The sequence below is a fragment of the Homo sapiens genome, chromosome 17 (assembly GCF_000001405.40).
Source record: "Homo sapiens chromosome 17, GRCh38.p14 Primary Assembly".
Lineage (NCBI taxonomy): Eukaryota > Metazoa > Chordata > Mammalia > Primates > Hominidae > Homo > Homo sapiens.
Window position 1 is genome coordinate 11,940,870 of NC_000017.11, and position 20,222 is coordinate 11,961,091.

The 20,222-nt window shown below is 42.2% G+C and overlaps 1 protein-coding gene and 1 long non-coding RNA gene across 6 annotated transcripts in view, besides 2 other annotated features; one reads left to right on the forward strand and one right to left on the reverse strand.

Moving 5' to 3' along the window:
- The window catches only part of DNAH9 (dynein axonemal heavy chain 9), a 371,279-nt gene that overhangs the window by 342,400 nt on the left and 8,657 nt on the right, over positions 1-20,222 (forward strand). For all 5 annotated transcript variants that reach the window (XM_011523703.3, NM_001372.4, XM_017024292.3 and 2 more), the window contains one exon: positions 1,434-1,616. In XM_011523703.3, the coding sequence (XP_011522005.1) occupies positions 1,434-1,616 (183 nt within the window). The remainder of the gene's footprint in view (positions 1-1,433; positions 1,617-20,222) is intronic.
- Positions 7,375-7,876: an enhancer, noted in NCBI's record as "H3K4me1 hESC enhancer chr17:11851561-11852062 (GRCh37/hg19 assembly coordinates)". NCBI's record gives its function as "activates a minimal SCP1, AML or CMV promoter by ChIP-STARR-seq in primed H9 embryonic stem cells {active_cell/tissue: H9 hESC(primed)}" and the evidence as "EXISTENCE:reporter gene assay evidence [ECO:0000049][PMID:30033119]".
- Positions 7,877-8,376: an enhancer, noted in NCBI's record as "H3K4me1 hESC enhancer chr17:11852063-11852562 (GRCh37/hg19 assembly coordinates)". NCBI's record gives its function as "activates a minimal SCP1, AML or CMV promoter by ChIP-STARR-seq in primed H9 embryonic stem cells {active_cell/tissue: H9 hESC(primed)}" and the evidence as "EXISTENCE:reporter gene assay evidence [ECO:0000049][PMID:30033119]".
- LOC124903928 (uncharacterized) lies at positions 13,022-19,345 on the reverse strand. The gene is made up of 2 exons (XR_007065622.1): positions 19,262-19,345; positions 13,022-17,860 (listed from the first exon to the last, which is right to left on the reverse strand). It is a non-coding gene; the product is annotated as an uncharacterized LOC124903928 (long non-coding RNA).

The following is a 20,222-nucleotide window of genomic DNA, read 5'->3' on the forward strand; positions in this document are numbered from 1 at the left end:
GCAGAACTGTATTAACTCGGTCAGGCCTCCTTGGCTGCAAGCTATAGACACCAACAGAGCTTAACTAGGCAAGAAATGGCTCACTCTATCAAGGGAGTCAGCCTAAGAAGAGATAAAAAATCACGATGGCTCTAGAGTCCCAGGTAAAAGAAGGGTAGACTGCCCTTTCCAGGCGCCCCCATCCTGCCAGTGGTTCCTTGGATTCCAGGCTTGAGATTCAAATCATTGTGCTCCTGGGAAACATAATCTGATTGGCCTAACTTGGCTCAGGGGAAACTGGGCCCAGTGACTAAACATAAACATAAAACAATGGGGAAGACATAGTTTCACAAAGGAGATAGGGAATTGTTCCTAGAAGGGAAAAGAGATAATGAACAGACAAAAACAGATATCCACCACAGGCACCTAGAGCTCAGCTCTCAGGACTCCAGAAATGGCTGGCGCTCGCTCACTCCCTCCCTCCTTCCCCTCTCTCCCTCTGTCCCAACCTGCTGGCTGTGTGGTCTATTATGTCTGCACTTTTCATTTTTCTTTCTCTGCTGACAGACCTCCTGGGCTTACTCATTTATTCCAAAATGGCAGACTCAACCTCCAAGTGCTTGCCCCAAATTAACTCAGAATCTCTGAGCCTCAATTCCAGTTTTCCAGGAGAGAGACCCTACTTGTCCTAGCTCCCCTGATCTAATTAGCTGACAGTTTGTGTGGGGAAAAGAATCGTGGGGTACAACAGGAGGTTTACATGATAGATGAGGGTGTTTCTTCCAGAACTCAAGGATAGAAACTGCAGTGTTGCATCATAGAAACTCAGAACTGAGTGGATGACCGGATAGATAGATAGATAGATAGATAGATAGATAGATAGATAGATAGTGATAGATTAGATAGATGGATAGATGAATGACAGATTAGATAGATGATAGATAGATAGATATTGTATATAACTGTATATTGATATACTGTATCTGGATATAGATAGATATTGTATATAACTGTATATTGATATACTGTATCTGGATATAGATAGATAGATTTGTCATTGCTGCTCATCACTTCAGCTTCACATGGCCCACAGGGGCCACCTTTTGGCCCAAGTCTGTCTTATGGCTTTCTAGTTTGATTCCCACAGCCAACTGGATCAGCCTCTGAGTTTTTCAACTCCAAATTCTTAGAGAGCTATCTGTGTTCATCTTATTATGCTAGGCATGCAAGTCCCAGGAACTTGGCCAGCCTATGAAGAGGTCCTACTGTGGTCAGTCAGTCCTCAGCCCTGACCTAGTTGACCTCGACAAGCAGGCAAGAGTTTGGCCATGTCAGTGGGTGGAGGGGCAGCAGACGATGGGTGATTGGCATCTCTAGTCCCACACTGCAGGAAAATGGATTCCTTCTGGAGAATAGAGCCCTTTCTTAACGCTGTGTTTCCTTCTGTGGGGCAGGTCAAGGCACTTCTGGAAGAAATATTGGAGCGGGTGACAGACGAGTTTAACATCCCAGAACTGATGGCCAAAGTGGAGGAGCGCACCCCTTACATTGTAGTTGCCTTCCAGGAGTGTGGCCGGATGAATATCCTCACCAGAGAGATTCAGCGCTCACTGAGGGAGCTGGAGCTCGGCTTAAAGGTGAGCGCGGTCTTGTAAGGCATGGAGGGGACATTGCTAGAGGACACAGATGGACCCCTATGGGGAAGAAGGAGCACTGGGGGACCTGAAAGCTGGGGAGCAGTTGTCCTGCAGCATCCTAGGTGCCCAAAAGTCATCACTCCCCAGAAACCACAGCCTGGCCATGAGGTTGTCTACAAGAACCAAGATGTTATACAGTCTTTGACATTTCTCGTCAACAAGGAAAGAGTCTACAATTTCTACTACCAGTTACTTAAACAAGTTTATTTTCCTCACCTTGAGATGATGTAAAGTGCCTAGCACAGAGCCTGTTAATTACTGTTCACTCCGATGACAGGAAATGGAAGCTCTTGCTGCCTTTGAGGAGCTGAGGAAGGTGACTGCTGTCGATTTACATTGGCTTGTTTTTTCTTTTTTTTTTTTTTTTTGAGACAGAGTCTTGCTCTGTCGCCCAGGCTGGAGTGCAGTGGTGTGATCTCGGCTCACTGCAAGCTCCACCTCCTGGGTTCACGCCATTCTCCTGCCTCAGCCTCCCGAGTAGCTGGGACTACAGGTGCCCGCCACCACGCCGGCTAATTTTTTGTATTTTTAGGAGAGATGGGGTTTCACCGTGTTAGCCAGGATGGTCTCCATCTCCTGACCTCATAATCCACCCGCCTCAGCCTCCCAAAGTGCTGGGATTATAGGTGTGAGCCACTGCACCTGGCCTACACTGGCTTGTTTATTAAAAGAATTGTAAATGAACACTCAGACAAGCCCTGGAAGTCCAGGTATGGAACATGCTGGTGCCTTCATCATGTCTGTCTCTTGGGGTTAAACACCTAGGGTCACACGTGGATAGGAAAAACACATATGAGTTTTTTCACATGGAGTCACATAGATGATGAAACGGACTGCAAAATCTAGGTTAGGGCCGGGCGCGGTGGCTCGTGCCTGTAATCCCAGCACTTTGGGAGCCCAAGGCGGGCGGATCACAAGGTCAGGAGATCGAGACCACCCTGGCTAGCACGGTGAAACCCCGTCTCTACTAAAAATGCAGAAATTAGCCAGGCGTGGCGGTGTGCACCTGTAGTCCCAGTTGCTGGGGAGGCTGAGGCAGGAGAATAGCGTGAACCTGGGAGGCGGAGCTTGCAGTGAGCCGAGATCGCACCGCTGCACTCCAGCCTGGGTGACAGAGCAAGACTCCGTCTCAAAAAAAACAAAAACAAAAAAATCAAGGTTAGGGTTTTTTTTGTTTAATCTCTTAATGTTCTTTCTCCTTCCTCCACCGCACCTCAACATGGGTAGAAGGAAATAAGGAAGGAGAGACAGGAGGGGAATGTTGAAGATGGACAATGTTTGGTAACGTTTCCAAATTCTGTGCCAGCTTGTAATCAAATGAAGTACAAAATTTCACAGAGTAAATAAGAACTTTGCCTGTTATGTAATGCAGTTCCATTACTGAGTACGCAGGTATATATCAGTAACTATCTTGAGTAGGTTTGCTGCCATTTGAAAGGCTTATGGAACTTGGGTAATGTGGCACAGCCTGTTTACCCATTCGACTTCCAATTCATTCACTCATTTTTCTTTCGAGAGCCTTTGCTGCAGTTGGTGTCATGAATCTCGGAGCTTGCCTGGGCAAAGATGCAGGGTGTGAGAGGTAGTTGTCTTTTCTTTCAGTCTGATTCAAGCAATGTTGATTGATGAGCCTCTTGGGCAAGTCTCAGCACTGCCTGCTGGAGGGTGCAGAGGAGATTGGAAAGGGAGCCTTCCCTTGCAGAAGGACAGTCTTGTGGGGAAACAGACACACACACTGATATAAAGCAGGGTGAAATTAATTAAGAGCCACATAGAGAGACGCGGGAGAAGAAAGAAGAAACAAGTATTGTGTGTGGGATAAGGAAAGCCCCAGGGAAGCAGTGGCATTGAGGGGGTTCTGGAGGAAGGGTAGGGTTGTGACAGGTGATCACAAAAGGCAGGGGCTCCTAGAGGCACAGGGCAGAGCAGCCCACGGTCTGTTCTCAGAGTTAACATGGTTTGGCTGCAGCTACAGGCCCACTCAGGTGAGCAACAGTGATAGGGTGAACTTCCAAAAGGTGACAAAACAATGATAGAAAAGTAGCTGGGACCTTTGTCTACTGGTCCCACTGCGAAATGGAAGATAAACAGAGAAATCTCCATTCAAACTTGCTGTCATGAATCCCAGACTCTCCTTAGGACCATCCCCCAAGCTGGCCTGGTCCTCAGACTCTCCAGAAGTTTTATCACATGTTCCCATCTCCACGCTCCAGTCCTACCAACCTCTAAGGGTGGGGCCTGGAAGTCCGTAATGTTTCATCACCAGCCAGGAAATTCTTATGATGACTCAAGTTTGGGAAGCACAGCATGAAGGTAAGAGGCAAAAGAAAAAAGTTAGACAGTGGTATTTGTGGCAAAATGAAGGTGCAAAGGGGATGGCAGCAGAGTTCAGAGAAGAGAGTTTTAAGTCTAGGGAATGGATAAAGCTGAGCTGGCCAGAAATGAGAACAGCAGGGAAAAGAGGCAAAACAGGTGACTTGGCAGGAGGGGTTCGCAGAGTGGTCTGGCCTGTGAGTGAGAGGCGGAGGGCCTAAGTGGGGCAAGTCCCTGAGATGGAGCAGCGAGGAATGTCAGCTCCGAGCTCTTCCCAGAACACTGGTGGAAGGCACGCTTGGCTTTGCTGACCAGCTTACCTGGCAGGGGGAAGGGGAAGAGGAAATTCTGCTTGAGGTTTTCCTTCCTCACTTTCTTAGTTTAACAATCACTTTATGCTGGGCTCAGTGGCTCATGCCTGTAATCCCAGCTCTTTGGGAGGCCGAGGCAGGTGGATTGCTTAAGGTCAGGAGTTCAAGACCAGCCTGGCCAACATGGCAAAACCCCGTCTCTACTAAAAATACAAAAATAAGCCAGGCGTGGTGGCGGGCGCCTGTAATCCCAGCTACTACGGAGGCTGAAGCAGGAGAATCGCTTTAACCTGGGATGCTATAACCTGCAGTGAGCCGACACTGTGACACTGCACTCCAGCCTGGGTGACAGAGAGAGATTCCATCTCAAAAAAAAAAAAAAAATCACTTTAAAGTTCTGGGACTGTTGGAGCTAAACGATGGGAATACACAGACATACAAAGTGGAATAACCAATATTGGAGGTGGCAAAAGGTGGGAAGGAAGGAGGGGGGTGAGGAATGAAAAATTACTTATTGGGTACAGTGTTCACTATTCAGGTGACAAGTGCACTAAAAGTGAGAATTGCACTACTATGCAATATACACATGTGAGAAAGCTGCACTTGTGGCCGGGCGCAGTGGCTCACGCCTGTAATCCCAGCACTTTGGGAGGCCGAGGCAGCTGGATCACGAGGTCAGGAGATCAAGACCATCCTGGCTAGCATGGTGAAACCCCGTCTCTACTAAAAATACAAAAAAAAAAATTAGCCGGGCGTAGTGGTGGGCACCTGGTAGTCTCAGCACTTTGGGAGGCCGAGGTGGGCGGATCAGTTGAGGTCAGGAGTTGGAGACAAGCCTGGCCAACATGGTGAAACCTCATCTCTACTAAAAAATACAAAAATTAGCCAGGCGTGGTGGCACGCACCTGTAATCCCAGCTACTTGGGAGGCTGAGGCAGGAGAATAGTTTGAACCCGGGAGGTGGAGGTTGCAGCGAGCTGAGATCATGCCACTGCACTCCAGTCTGGGTGACAGAGCAAGAGTCCATCTCAAAAAAAAAAAAAAAAAAAAAAAGAGCCAGATTAGATCCCCAGTCAGCAAGCCAGACTTTAAACTTGAACAGCTTCACATCTTTAGAAACAGATTTTGTCTATCAGGAGGGGCAATCAACCACTGAAGCATAGACAAAAAGCCTGACACCATCACACGTTTGAATGATAAAAATTACTTCCCGGCCAGGTGTGGTGGCTCACACCTGTAATCCCAGCACTTTGGGAGGGCAAGGTGGGTGGATCACAAGGTCAGGAGTTTGAGACCAGCCTGGCCAATATGGTGAAACCCTGTCTCTACTAAAAATACAAAAAAAATAGCCAGGCGTGGTGGCAGGCACCTGTAGTCCCAGCCACTCGGGAGGCTGAGGCAGGAGAATGGCGTGAACCCGGGAGGCGGAGCTTGCAGTGAGCCAAGATGCCACCACTGCACTCCAGCCTGGGCCACAGAGCAAGACTCCATCTCAAAAAAAAAAAAAAAAAGAAAAAGAAAAAAAAAATCTGCACTTGTACCCTCTAAATATATAACGGTATTTTAAAATTGAAAAAGAAAAAAAAATGCTTGCAAGCCGAAAAATAAAATAAAATATTCCAGGGCTGTTTCAGGTTGAGCATAGGGAGACAGGTCTACCCATGTTAGCCAACACATTAATTGGACAAACCCAAATGCTGTGCCCAGACTGGGCACCAAGGTTAGAAAATGTCTAATTTTTGAAGTCATTAAGTCAACACTGTTAGCATTCATGAAAAAGATATTGTTATTCACCATACTTCATATTTGGCTGGATGGGAGGCCATAATGTCTACCTAAAAAGTATTAGCTACTGAAAAGCACAGCAATGAAAGCCTTGAGGACTACAGGAGCTCAAAGCACACAAAAGTGGTAAAGGAAGGCATCATCTGGGGGCCACAAATATGTTCCCATAGAAAGGAATTCTTTTGGGAATTCACCACAGTTAGACATCTGTCTCTCAGCCTCACAAGATGAGGAACCAGGTCCTGTGATTATCCCAGAGCTGACTGGAAGGGGTATTGACTTTCACTAACCAAACTCACAAAAGCCTGATGTACCAAATGCCCAATGGCCAATTTATTCTGTTTCAATAACAACTAGGCATCATTTTCAAAGGGGCATATACTGACAACAGACTGCCCAGAAATTATCTCCCTATGTAGGAAAACTACAGAAGACAAGTTCTTAGACTTTTAATGCCCAATACAGTAGCCATTAATGACAGGTGCCTACTGAGCCTTGAAATGGAATAGTCCAAATTGAGATGTGCTATAAGCTTAAATTACACACCACATTTCAAAGCCATAAGACCAAAAACTATAAAATAGTCTAGTAATTTTATATTTATTATATATTGAAATGATGTTTGGTATTTTAGATATATTGAGTTAAATAAAAGTTAAATTCACCTGTTTGGTTTTTTACTTTTAAAATGTGAATTCCAGAAAATTTTTAATTACCTATGTGGCTCTCATATGTGGTTTGCATTCTATTTCATTTAGGCAGTGCATATCTTAGATGGAGCCATGGCCAGCCCAGAATCTGGGAGGGGCTGGGAACTATTTTTTTTTTTTTTTTTTTTTTTTTTTGAGACAGAGTCTTGCTCTGTTGCCCAGGCTGGAGTGCAGTAGTGCGATCTCAGCTCACTGCAACCTCTGTCTCCCGGGTTCAAGCGATTCTCCTGCCTCAGCCTCCCGGCTCCCGCCAGCACGCCCAGCTAATTCTTGTGTTTCTTTAGTAGAGACGGGGTTTCACCTTATTGACCAGGCTGGTCTCAAACTCCTGACCTTGTGATCCACCCACCTCGGCCTCCCAAAGTGCTGGGATTACAGGTGTGAGCCACCACGCCTGGCCAGGAACTGATTTTTATCATTCAAACGTGTGATGGCATCAGGCTTTTTTTCTATGCTTCAGTGGTTGATTGCCCCTCCTGATTGACAAAATCTGTTTCTAAAGATGTGAAGCTGTTCAAGTTTTAAAGTCTGGCTTGCTGACTGGGGATCTAATCTGGCTCTTTTTTTTTTTTTTTTTTTTTTTGAGACGGAGTCTCACTCTGTTGCCAGGCTGGAGTGCAGTGACACGATCTCGGCTCACTGCAAGCTCCACCTCTTGGGTTCAAGCTATTCTCCTGCCTCAGCCTCCCAAGTAGCTGGAATTACAGGTGCCTGCCACCGTGCCCGGCTAATTTTTGTGTTTTTTACTAGAGATGAGGTTTCACCGTGTTGGCCAGGCTGGTCTCGAACCCCTGACCTCAAGTGATCCACCCGCCTCGGCCTCCCAACGTGCTGGGATTACAGGCGTGAGCCACCGCACCCGGCCTCCTCTGGCTCTTTATTCTGATGCACTGTGTGTTGACTTGAATAGTTCAGGTCTGGAAGGGTGGGCCGTGCTATGGCCCTTTCATCCCCACCCACTGAGCAGCTATCCTGGCCTCTATGCCTTTGGCCTTCCAGTACTCTACCAGAATACCTGAATAGAAAGGCTGCTGCCAACCCAGCCTGGAGGCCAGCCTGGAAGGAGTGGGACCCTTATCACTTTCACTTCTTCCCATGTCCTCAGCTCCCAGTGTCTTAAACAAATGAAAGCTCCTCGCCAAGAACATCTTCATAGGGTAGAAAAAACAGAGAGGAGCTAAGCCTCAGGACAGGCTACAGCATGGAGCCCCTCCAGGAGGGAGGACCTGGGTGCTGCTGCCCTGTCCCCTGGCCCTCTGTGGACTGAACGCCCGCTGCATGACCGTGAGCCCAGGGCAACAGCTGCTTCAGACACATCAGAGATCAGAGGCGCCCTTTTCAAATGGAAGTTCCTGGCCTCATTCCCAGAGGTATGAGTCCTTAGTTTGGACTACAGCCTACAAATCCAAGCTTTTAACAGGCTCCCTGACTTAAAAGAACGAAGACCTACAGGAAAAATGAGGTTTTCACTCTGTATTATGCCAAAGAAAGATTATGAAAGCATTTATTGATAGGGATGAATGAAAGGGTTAAGGTCACAGCCAGATAGCCCTCCTATCCTGAAAAGGGGCCACCCAGCCTGTAGTTCTCCCAGAGTTTCATTGCAATGCCAAAACCGAGGAAGCACCTTGTAGACCCTGAAATGCAGCATTTTCTTGAGCGAAGGGTCCAGTGTTTTAAGTTTTCTCTTTGTTGACTCTTGACCTGTGAGCAAGTGTGAATATTAATCGCTGTTAAACAGGATTCAGGCCAGAGGAGTTTAGGAAACTGGTTGAATTAACATAAGTAGGTGTCTTTGCTGTAGTATAGCTTGAGACTTTTTTTTTTTTTCTTTGAGACGGAGTTTTGCTCTTGTTGTCCAGGCTGGAGTGCAATGGCGCAATCTCAGCTCACCGCAACCTCTACTTCCCAGGTTCAAGCAATTCTCCTGCCTCAACCTCCTGAGTAGCTGGGATTACAGGCATGCGCCAGCATGCCTGGCTAATTTTGTATTTTCAGTAGAGAGGGGGTTTCTCCATGTTGGTCAGGCTGGTCTCAAACTCCCAACCTCAGCTGAATCACCTACCTCCACCACAAAGTGCTGGGATTACAGGTGTGAGCCACCATGCCCAGCCAATGATTTTTTATTTTCTTCTTTTCCTAAATGACTCCTGGTTCTCTTCTCCAGGGCTGTCCCTGCTTCACTGACAAGCTGAGACAGAACATTCTTTGGAGTTCCATCACTTGCACATTCAATTAGTATGTGTAAAATTATTGTCAGAATACATTATAATCTTATTATAAGCAGATGTGGGAAATTTTTAAGAAAGCCAAGTTACACATATTATGTTCCTCTGCTTTCAAAATGATGTTAGATTTCTGAAGGGTGTTAAAAATTAAGTATTGCATATATTTTTAAATTTATTAGACCTTATTTTTAGAGTAACTTTAAGTTCACAGCAAAATTGCACAGAAGGTATGGAGATTTCCCATACACCTGCTGTCCTCAAAGACAAATTATCCTTCCTCGACTCTCAAATTCCCCACCAGAGTGGTACTTTTCTTATAACTGATGAATCTATACTCATACATCATTATCACCCAGAGTTCATAGTTTACATTGGGGTTCATTCTCAGTGTTAGACTTTCTATGGGTTTGGACAAATAAATAATGACTTGTATCCACCATTATAGTATCATAAAAAGTAGTTTCACTGCCCTAAAATTCCTTTGTATTGGATATATTTTAAACTTTTTTGTTTTCAGAGATGGAATCTTTCTCTATTGCCCAGATTGGAGTGTGGTGGTGTGATCATGGCTCAAGAGATCTTCCCACCTCAGCCACGTGCGTAGCTGGAACTACAGGTGCACACAACCACACCCGACTAACTTTTTATTTTTATTTTTGTAGAGATGGGGTCTCACTATGTTGCCAGGCTGGTCTCCAACTACTGGTGTGAAACGATCCTCCCGCCTTGACCCAAAGTGTTGGAATTACAGGCATGAGCCACTGTGCCTGGCTATTTTAAACTTTTTTCAAGCACATTATCTCTTCTTATAACAAAACTTACAGAAACAGTTTTTATGCCTTCACGGTTTTCAGAAATGGCACATCTCTGTATGAGGGATGGTAACACAGAGTGAGCTGTTGACTTAGCCCAGGGAAATGACCAGAAACAAAGGACTTCTGAGTCCAGGGTTCCATCTGAGTTCATCTTATCTGCCTCGCTCTGGCCCAGTCCTCAAAGCACATCCCAAACGACCAGGACATTTCCATCACACTTAGTCCAGTGTACCGCCAGCAGTCCACAACCTGACACCTTAGGAGTTCTGCTGAGTCACGTTATCGGGTGACTCCAGAATGGGGCCTTTATTCCCCTATCAACTCACAGGACAGACGACATTCACATGTGCAGTATCTTTCCATAGATGCACCCAAATTTCATACAACCCCAAACAATTTTGTATAGAAGCAAATTCAGTAGAACTATATTTTGCTGTATTGTTTGTAAAGGCATTTTATAACCATGGAAGTTAATTGGCCATTGAAAACGTCTTAAAATTTTTATTCTGAAGGGAAAAAATGAATGCAGTATGGCCTGTTTTTTTAAAAAATATCTGTTGGACTCATTTCACTTTTGAAGTGAGTCATGACTTTTTGACACATCTTCTTAACCACAGGTTGGCAAGCAAGTAGTGCTATTGTATGCACATAAAAATTTGTACTAAAACTGGCATTTGTAGTTTTTAATGTAAGCCAGGCATGGTGGCTCACACCTGTAATCCTAGCACTTTGGGAGGCCCAAGTGGGTGGATCACTTGAGGCCAGGAGTTTGAGACCAGCCTAGCCAACATGGCAAAATCCCATCTCTACTGGAAATACAAAAATTAGCTGGGCATAGTGGCTATGACAGGAGGACTGCTTGAGGCCAGGAGTTTGTAGACCAGTCTGGGCAACATAGTGAGACCCTATCTTGAGGGAAAAAAAATTAAAAATTCGGCCGGGTGTGGTGGCTCACACCTGTAATCCCAGCATTTTGGGAGGCCAAGGTAGGTGGATTATGAGGTCAGGAGCTTAAGACCAGCCTGGACAAGATGGTGAAACCCCGTCTCTACTAAATATACAAAACTCAGCCGGGCTTGGTGGCAGCTGCCTGTAATCCCAGCTACTCGGGAGGCTGAGGCAGGAGAATTGCTTGAACCTGGAAGGCAGAGGTTGCAGTGAGCTGAGATCACACCACTGCACTCTAGCCTGGGTGACACAGCAAAACTCCATCTCAAAAAAAAAAAAAAAAATTAATTAAAAATTCAGTTCCTTTTTTGCATTAGTTACATTTCATGTGTTCAGTAGCCACATGTGATCTTATTAGCACAGATACAGAATGTCTTTGCCATCACAGGAAGCTCTGGTGGATGATGGTATTTTAGGCAAAAAGGCTAGGTTTTCTGTCTGGTAATGTAAACTATTATGTATGTTTTTGCCAAAGCTATATTACTTTTTTTTTTTTTTTTTTTTGACAGAGTCTTGCTCTGTTGCCCAGGCTGGAGTTCAGTGGCATGATCTTTGCTTACTGCAACCTCTACCTTCTAGGTTCAAGCAATTCTTGTGCCTCAGCCATCCAAGTAGCTGGGATTACAGGCATGCACCATTACACCCAGCTAATTCTTTTTTTTTTTTTTTTTTTTTTTTTTTTGGTAGATACCAGGCCTCACTGTGTTTCCCAGGCTGGTTTCACACTCCCGGGCTCAAAGTGCTCCTCCTGCCTTGGCTTCCCAAAGTGCTGAGATAATAGGCATGAGCCACTGTGCCCAGCTCTCAATTTTTAATTTTATAATTTTAGTTCACTTGCATTTAAATAGCCACATGTGGCTAGTGGCTATCATATGAGACACTGTAAACCTAAAATATATGTATTTGGGTCCTGTAATGTAAGGCCAAGGACAATGGATAAGGATTTGCCTTGTAGCTGTGTTTGCTAAAGAGACTATCAGGTAGTTTCCCCATAAAGCACAATACTTCATCCTGCCCCTAAAGGTGAATTTCAGCCCTTCTCTCCTAAAATGGCCTGTAGCCCTTAAAGGCCATTTTTTTTTCCATTCACAGCAATCACTTTTCCCACTGACCTCTCTCCTGGTTCTCTTCTCCAGGGCTGTATGAGTCAGGTACAGCTGCTGTAACAAAATACCGTAGACGGTGTGGCTTAAACAACAGATATTTATTTCTCACAGTTGTGGAGGCTCAAAGTCTAAGCTCAAGCACCGGCAAATTTGGTTTCTGGTGAGGGCTCTCTGCTGGGCTTGTAGAGAGGTGTCTCCTCTCTGTGTCCTCAAATGGCAGGGAGGCAGAGCCAGAAAAGGGGAAAGTGGGAGAGAGACTGAGAGATTTCTTCCTCTTCTTATAAGGCGAAAGTCCTATCAGATTAGGGCTTCATCCTTATGACGTCACTTAACCTTAATTACCTCCTTAAAGACTCTATTTCCAATACAGTCACATGGAGGGTTGGGGCTTCAACATATGAATTTGCCAGGTACATGGCCCAGTCCGTAGAGGGGGTTTTCTCACCTGTCCACCCTGCAGCTGCTGCCCACAGAGAAGTTGCTGCATTAGCCTGACTTACCGTTGGAGCATGCTGTACCCAGACTCAGTGGTTCTACCAGCCACCAACCCACAGCCCTTTTGTGCTGGTCAGGCCTCAAGCGGCATCAACCTATGACATCAGTGGCTTTACCTTGCTTTTTCCCCTCCTTATCACTCTCATTCACCTGATTCTGATTCTCATTCACAAATGGGATGAAGTGAAGTGGTATCAAAGCTACTGGACATTGGGAGTATGTCCTGTTAATGGGCATAATCCATCATGTTTGTTAGAAAAGAAGTGCTGACAAGGCCAGGTGCGGTGGCTCATGCCTGTAATCCCAGCACTTTGGGAGGCTGAGGCGGGCGGATCACGAGGTCAGGAGATCAAGACCATCCTGGCTAACGTGGTGAAACCCCGTCTCTACTAAAAATACAAAAAAATTAGCCAGGCGTGGTGGCAGGCGCCTGTAGAGCTTGCAGTGAGTGGAGATCGCCACTGCACTCCAGCCTGGGCCACAGAGAGAGACTCCAGCTCAAAAAAAAAAAAAAAAAAAATGTGATCAATTGAAATGAAGCCAGAAATGACAGAGACAATGGAAGACAAAGATGTTAAAACAACTATTATAAGTTTGCACCATATATTCAAGAAGCTAGAAGAAAACAAGAGTATAATGTAGAACATGTAAGATATTTATTAAAAGACGCAAATGGAATTTATAGAGATGAAAAATACAATATTGATATGAAAAAATGAACTTCAGAGGATTCACAGCTGAGTAGGCACTGCAGGAGAAAAGATCAGTAACCATGAATACACAGCAATAAAAACATCTAGAATAATGAAAAAACCAAAAAAAGTAAACAAATTACTAGGTCCTGTAGGATAATATCAAGTGGTCTAACATACATGTAATTGGTGTCCCAAAAAGTAAACAAATTACTAGGTCCTGTAGGATAATATCAAGTGGTCTAACATACATGTAATTGGTGTCCCAAAAGGATGGGGTTGTTGATGGGGAAGGGGGGGGCCAAAAAAACTATTTGAAGAAATAAGGGCCACAGTTTTGCAAATTTGCTGAAAACCACAAAACCTATAGGTACAAGAAGCTCAACAAGCCCCATGCAGAATAAGCCTAATGAAAACATTGTAAATACACCTCATAATAAAACTGCTGAAACCAGGGATAAAGAAAAATTTTAAAAGCAGCAAGAGGAGAAAAATAAAAATTATATTTAAAGGATCAAAGAAAAGAATGATGGCAGACTTCTTGTCAGAAGCTGTGCAAGCCAGAAGAAAGTGGAGAACTATCATTAAAGTACTAAAAGAAAAAAACTGTAAACTTAGAATTCTTTGCCCAGGAAAAAATAGCTTTCAAAAAAGAAAACTAAGTAAAGATGTTTTCAGACAACTGAAATAATTCATAGCCAACAAGCCTGTGGGACAAGAAATGTTAAAGAAATTTCTTAGAACCCAGGAGGCGGAGGTTGTGGTGAGCCGAGATCACACCACTGCACTCCAGCCTGGGCAACACGGCAAGACTTCGTCTTAAAAAAAAAAAAAAAAAAAGAGAGAGAAAGAAATTTCTTAGAAAGAAAGAAAATGATATATGGAAATTTGGATCTAAACAAAGAAATAATGGTCTCCACAGATGGTAAATATGTGAGTAATATGAAAGACATTTTTACTCATCCAAAATCTTTTTTTAAAAATAATAGACTGTTTAAAACAAAAATAATAAAAATTTACTGTGGGCTTTAAGCATATGTAAAACCAAAATACATGCCAACAACAGCATGAAAAATGAGAGAAATAGAAGCATATTGTATATGATTCTTACAGCATATGTGGAGTGGTATAATTTTGAAGTTAGGGTGTGATGAGTTAGAGACATGTATTGTAAATCCTACAGCAGCATTCAGCAAACTGTCAGCCAACAGGCCAAATCCAGCCCACAACCTGTTTTGGCAAGTAAACATTGGAACACAGCCACAGTCATTCATATATACATTGTCTATGGCTATTTTTGTGCTACAATAGCAGAATTGAGTAGTGTCAGCAGAGATCATATGGCCCACAAAGCCTGTAATATTTATTTACTATTTGACACTTTACAGGAAAAAAAAAAAAGTTTGTCAATTCTTGCCCTAGAGCAGCCAAAAAATAAATAAATAATCTACAATTATAGTAGTTACTGTATTGGTAACTACATTAAATATAAACGGCTTAAGTGCCCAGAGTACTGTTTAGAACTGCCAGATCCAATTTTTAAAAAGCAAGACCTACCTATATGCTGTTATGTCAGGAATCCTGTCTCCAGACCACTCCTACATTTGGAGATTTGCTAGAAGGACTCATGAGTTTCAGCATATGATTGTATTAATACATATGGCTAAAATTTGTTATGGTGCTGTAGTAAGAATACACACATAGCCAGATCATAAGGGAAAAGACATAGGTGGAGTCAGGAGAAACCCATGTACAGGTTTCCATATGCTGCCTCCCTCTCATGAAGGATCACATAGAGTGCATCCTCTCTCCAGCACTGGAAATGGAGTAACATTTGTGTAACATTTCTGCCCAGGGAATTCCATTAGAGACCCCAGCACCCAAGGATTTTATTAGGAGCTGGTCACATAGGCACCCTCTTTCTAGCACATCCAAAATTCCATGCTTCCAAATGGGAAGTAGGTATTCATTGTAAACCAAATTGTTTGCACAGTCTGGATATGGTCAACCACCCTTTTCTATTAACCGTTAACGAGGAGCTAAGTTTCTAGATGCCAGCCACAGGCCAACCTTGCTAGCAGGCATTTCTAAGGATAGCAGTCTCAAGCTTGCCCATTAACTCTTTCAGCACAGCTGATTACCAAAACAAAGGACAAAAAAACTACGTATCCAGCTAAACACAGGTTAGAAGAAAAAGATGAGAAAAAATATAATATAAAAACACTAATCAAAAGAAAGTTGTAGAGGCTATATAAAAATCAAACTAACTATATTTTTAAATAAGCAATATTACCATGGATGAAGAGGAGTATTATATAATAAGTCAATTTTTCAAGAGGATATAACAATCCTAAGTGTATAGGCACCTCATAACAAAGCGTCAAAATACATAAAGCAAAAAAATGATAGAATCAAAAGAAGAAATAAACAAATCCATAATTATAGTTGGTTTCAAAACTCCTCTCTCAATATTTAGTAGAACAAGTAGACAGAAAACTAATTAGGATAAAAAAGACTTGGCAAAATTATCAACCAACTTAACCAATTTTACAGACACTCCAACAATGTCAGAATACACATACTTTTCAAGAGTACACAGAACACTCACCAAAATCAACTATATTTTATGTCATAAAGCAATATGAGAGGATTAAAATCATACACAGTATATTAACTGACTATAGCATAATTGAACTAAAAATCAATAACAGAAAGATATCAGAAAACCCACAAGTATTTGGAAATTAAATAGCATATTTCTAAATAATTCTAACTATATTGAATAAAATAAAAATAAAAATATATAAAATTGGTAACAATTAGCTAAAGCAGAACTTAGAGGGAAATGTATAGCATGAGATGCGAATATCAGCAATGAAAAAAGTTCCCAAATCAATTATCTAAGCTGCACCTTAAGAAACTAGGAAAAAAATGGCAAAACAAACCCAAAGTAAACAAAATGAAGGAAATAATAAAGAGTAGAATTAATGAAAGTGAAAACAAAAAAATTATAAAACTTTATGAAACCAAAAGCTGGTTCTTTTTAAAAATGAATAAAATTAATAAACATTTACCAGAATTTATAAGAAAAAAGAAAAAACAAAAACTTGAAAAAATCAGGATGGAAGGGGAGATATCATCATAAATCCTATAGACATTAAAAGGATTATAAGAATATGAATAATTTTCTGCAATTAAATTCAACTACTTAAATGAAGTGAACCAGTTCCCTATGAGACTCCATCAAAGCTCACCCAAGTAAAATGTATAACCTAAATAGCCCATATGTGTTTAAAAAATTGAATTCATGACTTAAAATTTCCCACAAAGAAAACCCCTGATCCACAAAGTATCCTTGGTAAATTCTACAACATTTAAGGATTAAATAATACCAATTTTACATAAACTCTTCTACTTCCAGGAAGATGGATAGACTTATGTTTCCCTATTCCTCCTGCTAAGTATAAATAAAAACCATGGCCATTTTATACAGAAGAAACATAAGACTCTGGAATATGTAGAGAGGAATGAAGACTATCTATGAACCTCAGGACCCAAGAAGGGACATGATAGTGAGTTTCTTGGATTTTCTTTATGCCTCATAGACCTCAGAATGGGAGAAAAAAAAAAAAAAAGCCAGCAAGCCAGAAATACCAGTGGATGCAGACAAAACAACAACAACAACAAAACTGTTCTCTTCAGCAGAGAGAGATGAACCAGCAAAGAGACAGCCTAGCGAGACAGAAAACTTACAGACAATAAGCATGCTACTTCAGCCATACACCACAGAAAAAACAGGAATCCTTATCATGATTGAAATGTTTTGTGTCTTGACTGTATCAATGTCAGTATCTTGGTTGTGATATTGTACTATAGTTTTTCAAGCTATTACCATTAGGGGAGACCAGGTAAATGGTACACAAGATCTGTCTGTATTATTCCTTACAACTATAAATATACCTATAATTATCTCAAAATCGTAAGTTTAATTTTTTAAATCACCATACAAAACCTGCAGATGTTTATAACAGCATTATTCGTAACTGCCAAAACTTGGAAGAAACCAAGATGTACTTCAGTAGGTAAATGGATAAACTGCAGTACATCCAGACAGTGGATTATTATTCAATGCTTTTTAAAAAATCAGCTATCAAGCCATGAAAAGAAACAGAGGGAACTTAAACACATACTACTAAGTGAAAGATGTCAATATGAAAAGGCTACATACTGTATTATTCTAACTATGTGACATTCTGAAAAATGGAAAACAATGGAGGCAGTAAAAACACTGGTTGCCCAGAGTTAAGAGTGAGGATGGCATGAGTAGGTCAAGCACAGAAAAATTTTAGGACACTGAAACAATAATGATGAATATGATACTATAATGGTGGATACTTGTCATATACTATAATGATACAACATGATACTGTATTTGTACAATACTGTAACGGTGGATACATACAATTATACTGCAATGACATATACTAAAATGGTGGATACGTGGCATTAAACTGTAATGATACAATATGATACTGTAATGGTAGATACATGTCATTATAAATTTGTCCAAACACATAGAATGTACAACGCAAAGGGCAAACCCTACGGTAAACTACGGACTCTGAGTGATAATGAGGTGAATGCAGGTGCATCACTTGTAACAAAGGTACCGCTCTGGTGGGGAATGTTGATAGTGGTGGAGGTTGTGCATGTGTCGAGGCAGAAGATATAAGGGTAATCTCTGTACTTGCTGCTCAATTTGCTGTGAAACTAAAACTGCCCTAAAAAAAAAAAAATAAAGTATATTAAGAAAAGGCATAGAGAAAACTTCTCAACAAATTTTATGAAAACAGAATTAACGTGACACCAAATACGTTATGAGCAAATGACAGATCAGCTTTCCTCATAAACACAAATGCAAAATTCCTTAGCAAAATGTTAACAAATCAAATCACACAATATAAGAATAAGATAATATATCATGGCTAAATGCGGTAATCCTAGGAATACAAGATTAGTTTTAAGATTCAAAAATCAGTCAGTGAAGTTTACCATATTAATGTGCTACATTTAAAAATCATATGATCATCTTCATAAATGCAGAGAAGGCGTTTGACAAAATTGAACACCAAATCTTCATTTTAAAATATCAAAAAAAAAACAGAAATCAAAGGAAATGTCAACTTAAAGGATATCCAAAGAAAACATATTTAATTGTGAGGGACTGCCTGCTTTCTCTCTAAGTTTGGGAACAAGGCAAGGTTTTCCATCCTCATCACTTTTGTTCATCATTGCCATGAATGTCCTTCATAACGTGGTAAGGGAAGACATGGCTACACAGATGGGGTCTCATAAAACAAAGTGAATGATCTTCTTTGATCATTTATTTTGTCCTTTGCACTAAATTTCATCTTTATACTTAATGTTATTTTATTAAATAATCAGCTATTTAAAGGGAAACAATTATTACATAAGCTATACATTGCATGTAGCAATGAATTATCACATAACTACAGATATGAGGAAGACCGTATTGTCTCAGAAGCTTGATTTGGGCTCAGAGATATAAGCAGCATATTAAACCCATTTCTCAGAAGCCTGTGTACACTAAAGCAGAGATTCCAAACAAAGGAAACAGTTTTTTTCTATTTTAACCTAATAATGATATTCATTTCAGCAGATCCTTAGGGAAATCTACCAGAAAAAACTTGCTCATCAAATTCGGGTTTGGTTGAAAGTGATAAATGTTGGTGGCACATACAGGGCTCTTTTACATCCCATGGAGCCTTGATGTGGCCTCAGATTCATCACAACACCCTGCTCTGGTCATTCACCTCAAAACATCTGGATAAATACGTGGAATGAAATCTATTTTCTATCCCTGTAATAAAGTCCTGTTACTTGGGGGAAAATGTTTGTAATTCACACTGTACTCATTCAGGCTGGTCCATCTGTTGCTGGTCTGATTAGGGATATTGGTCTTTTCTTTAAAACATTGAGGTTTTTATGTCTTAAAATAGTCCGGCCACCAGACACTACAGTCTAGAAAGTGAATTCGTAATAATTATACTTCATGTAGGAAGTTCATAAAGAAGTTACCAGTTTATTTCTTATAAATCAGGAGCCTCTGGCTGTCACTCAGGAGACTGAAATATGTTCATCTTAAGGTAGGTATGCTTAACTGTTTTTAAGAATTCCAAAAGTGGGCCAGGTGCAGTGGCTCACGCCTGTAATCCCAGCATTTTGGGAGGCCAAGGCGGGTGGATCACCTGAGGTCAGGAATTTGAGACCAGCATGGCCAACATGGTGAAACCCCGTCTCTACTAAAAATACAAAAATTAGTCGGGTGTGGTGGTGGGCGCCTGTAATCCCAGCTACTTGGGAGGCTGAGGCAGGAGAATTCCTTGAGCTCGGGAGGCAGAGGTTGCCGTGAGCTGAGATCGTGCTACTGCACTCCAGCCTGGGTGACAGAGCAAGACTCTGTCTTAAAAAAAAAAAAAAAAAAAAAAAAAAATCCAAAAGTGGCTGGGTGCGGAGGCTCATGCCTGTAATCCCATCAATTCTGGAGATTGAGGTGGGCAGATCACCTGAGGTCAGGGTCAGGAGTTCGAGACCAGCCTGGCCAACATGGTGAAACCCCATCTCTACTAAAAATACAAAATTAGCTGGGCATAGTGACAGATGCCTGTAATCCCAGCTACTCAGGAAGCTGAGGCAGAAGAATCGCTTGAACCCGGGAGGCGGAGGTTGCAGTGAGCAGAGATTGCGCCCCTGCACTCCCGCCTGGGTGACAGAGCAAGACACCGTCTCCAGAAAAAAAAAGAATTCCAAAAGTTAAGAGAAAAAGTTAGATCTAGAATTCCATGTGCCAGTCTCCTGTCCCACAGGCCAGGAGACTCCAGGCCCTACGGAGGTGAGAACATCTTACATTTTAGCAGTCTGCCCTTGATGAGACAGCCAAACGCTGTCAGGTGCCCTAACACCTATTACAGAAACCACAACAATAGAAATGGGGTCTTCAAGAAATTGCCACAGATCATTGGCAGAGCCAAAGTTACAAAGTTTGCTTTAAACATAGTGTTCAGGCCGGGCGCGGTGGCTCATGCCTGTAATCCCAGCACTTTGGGAGGCTGAGGTGGGCTG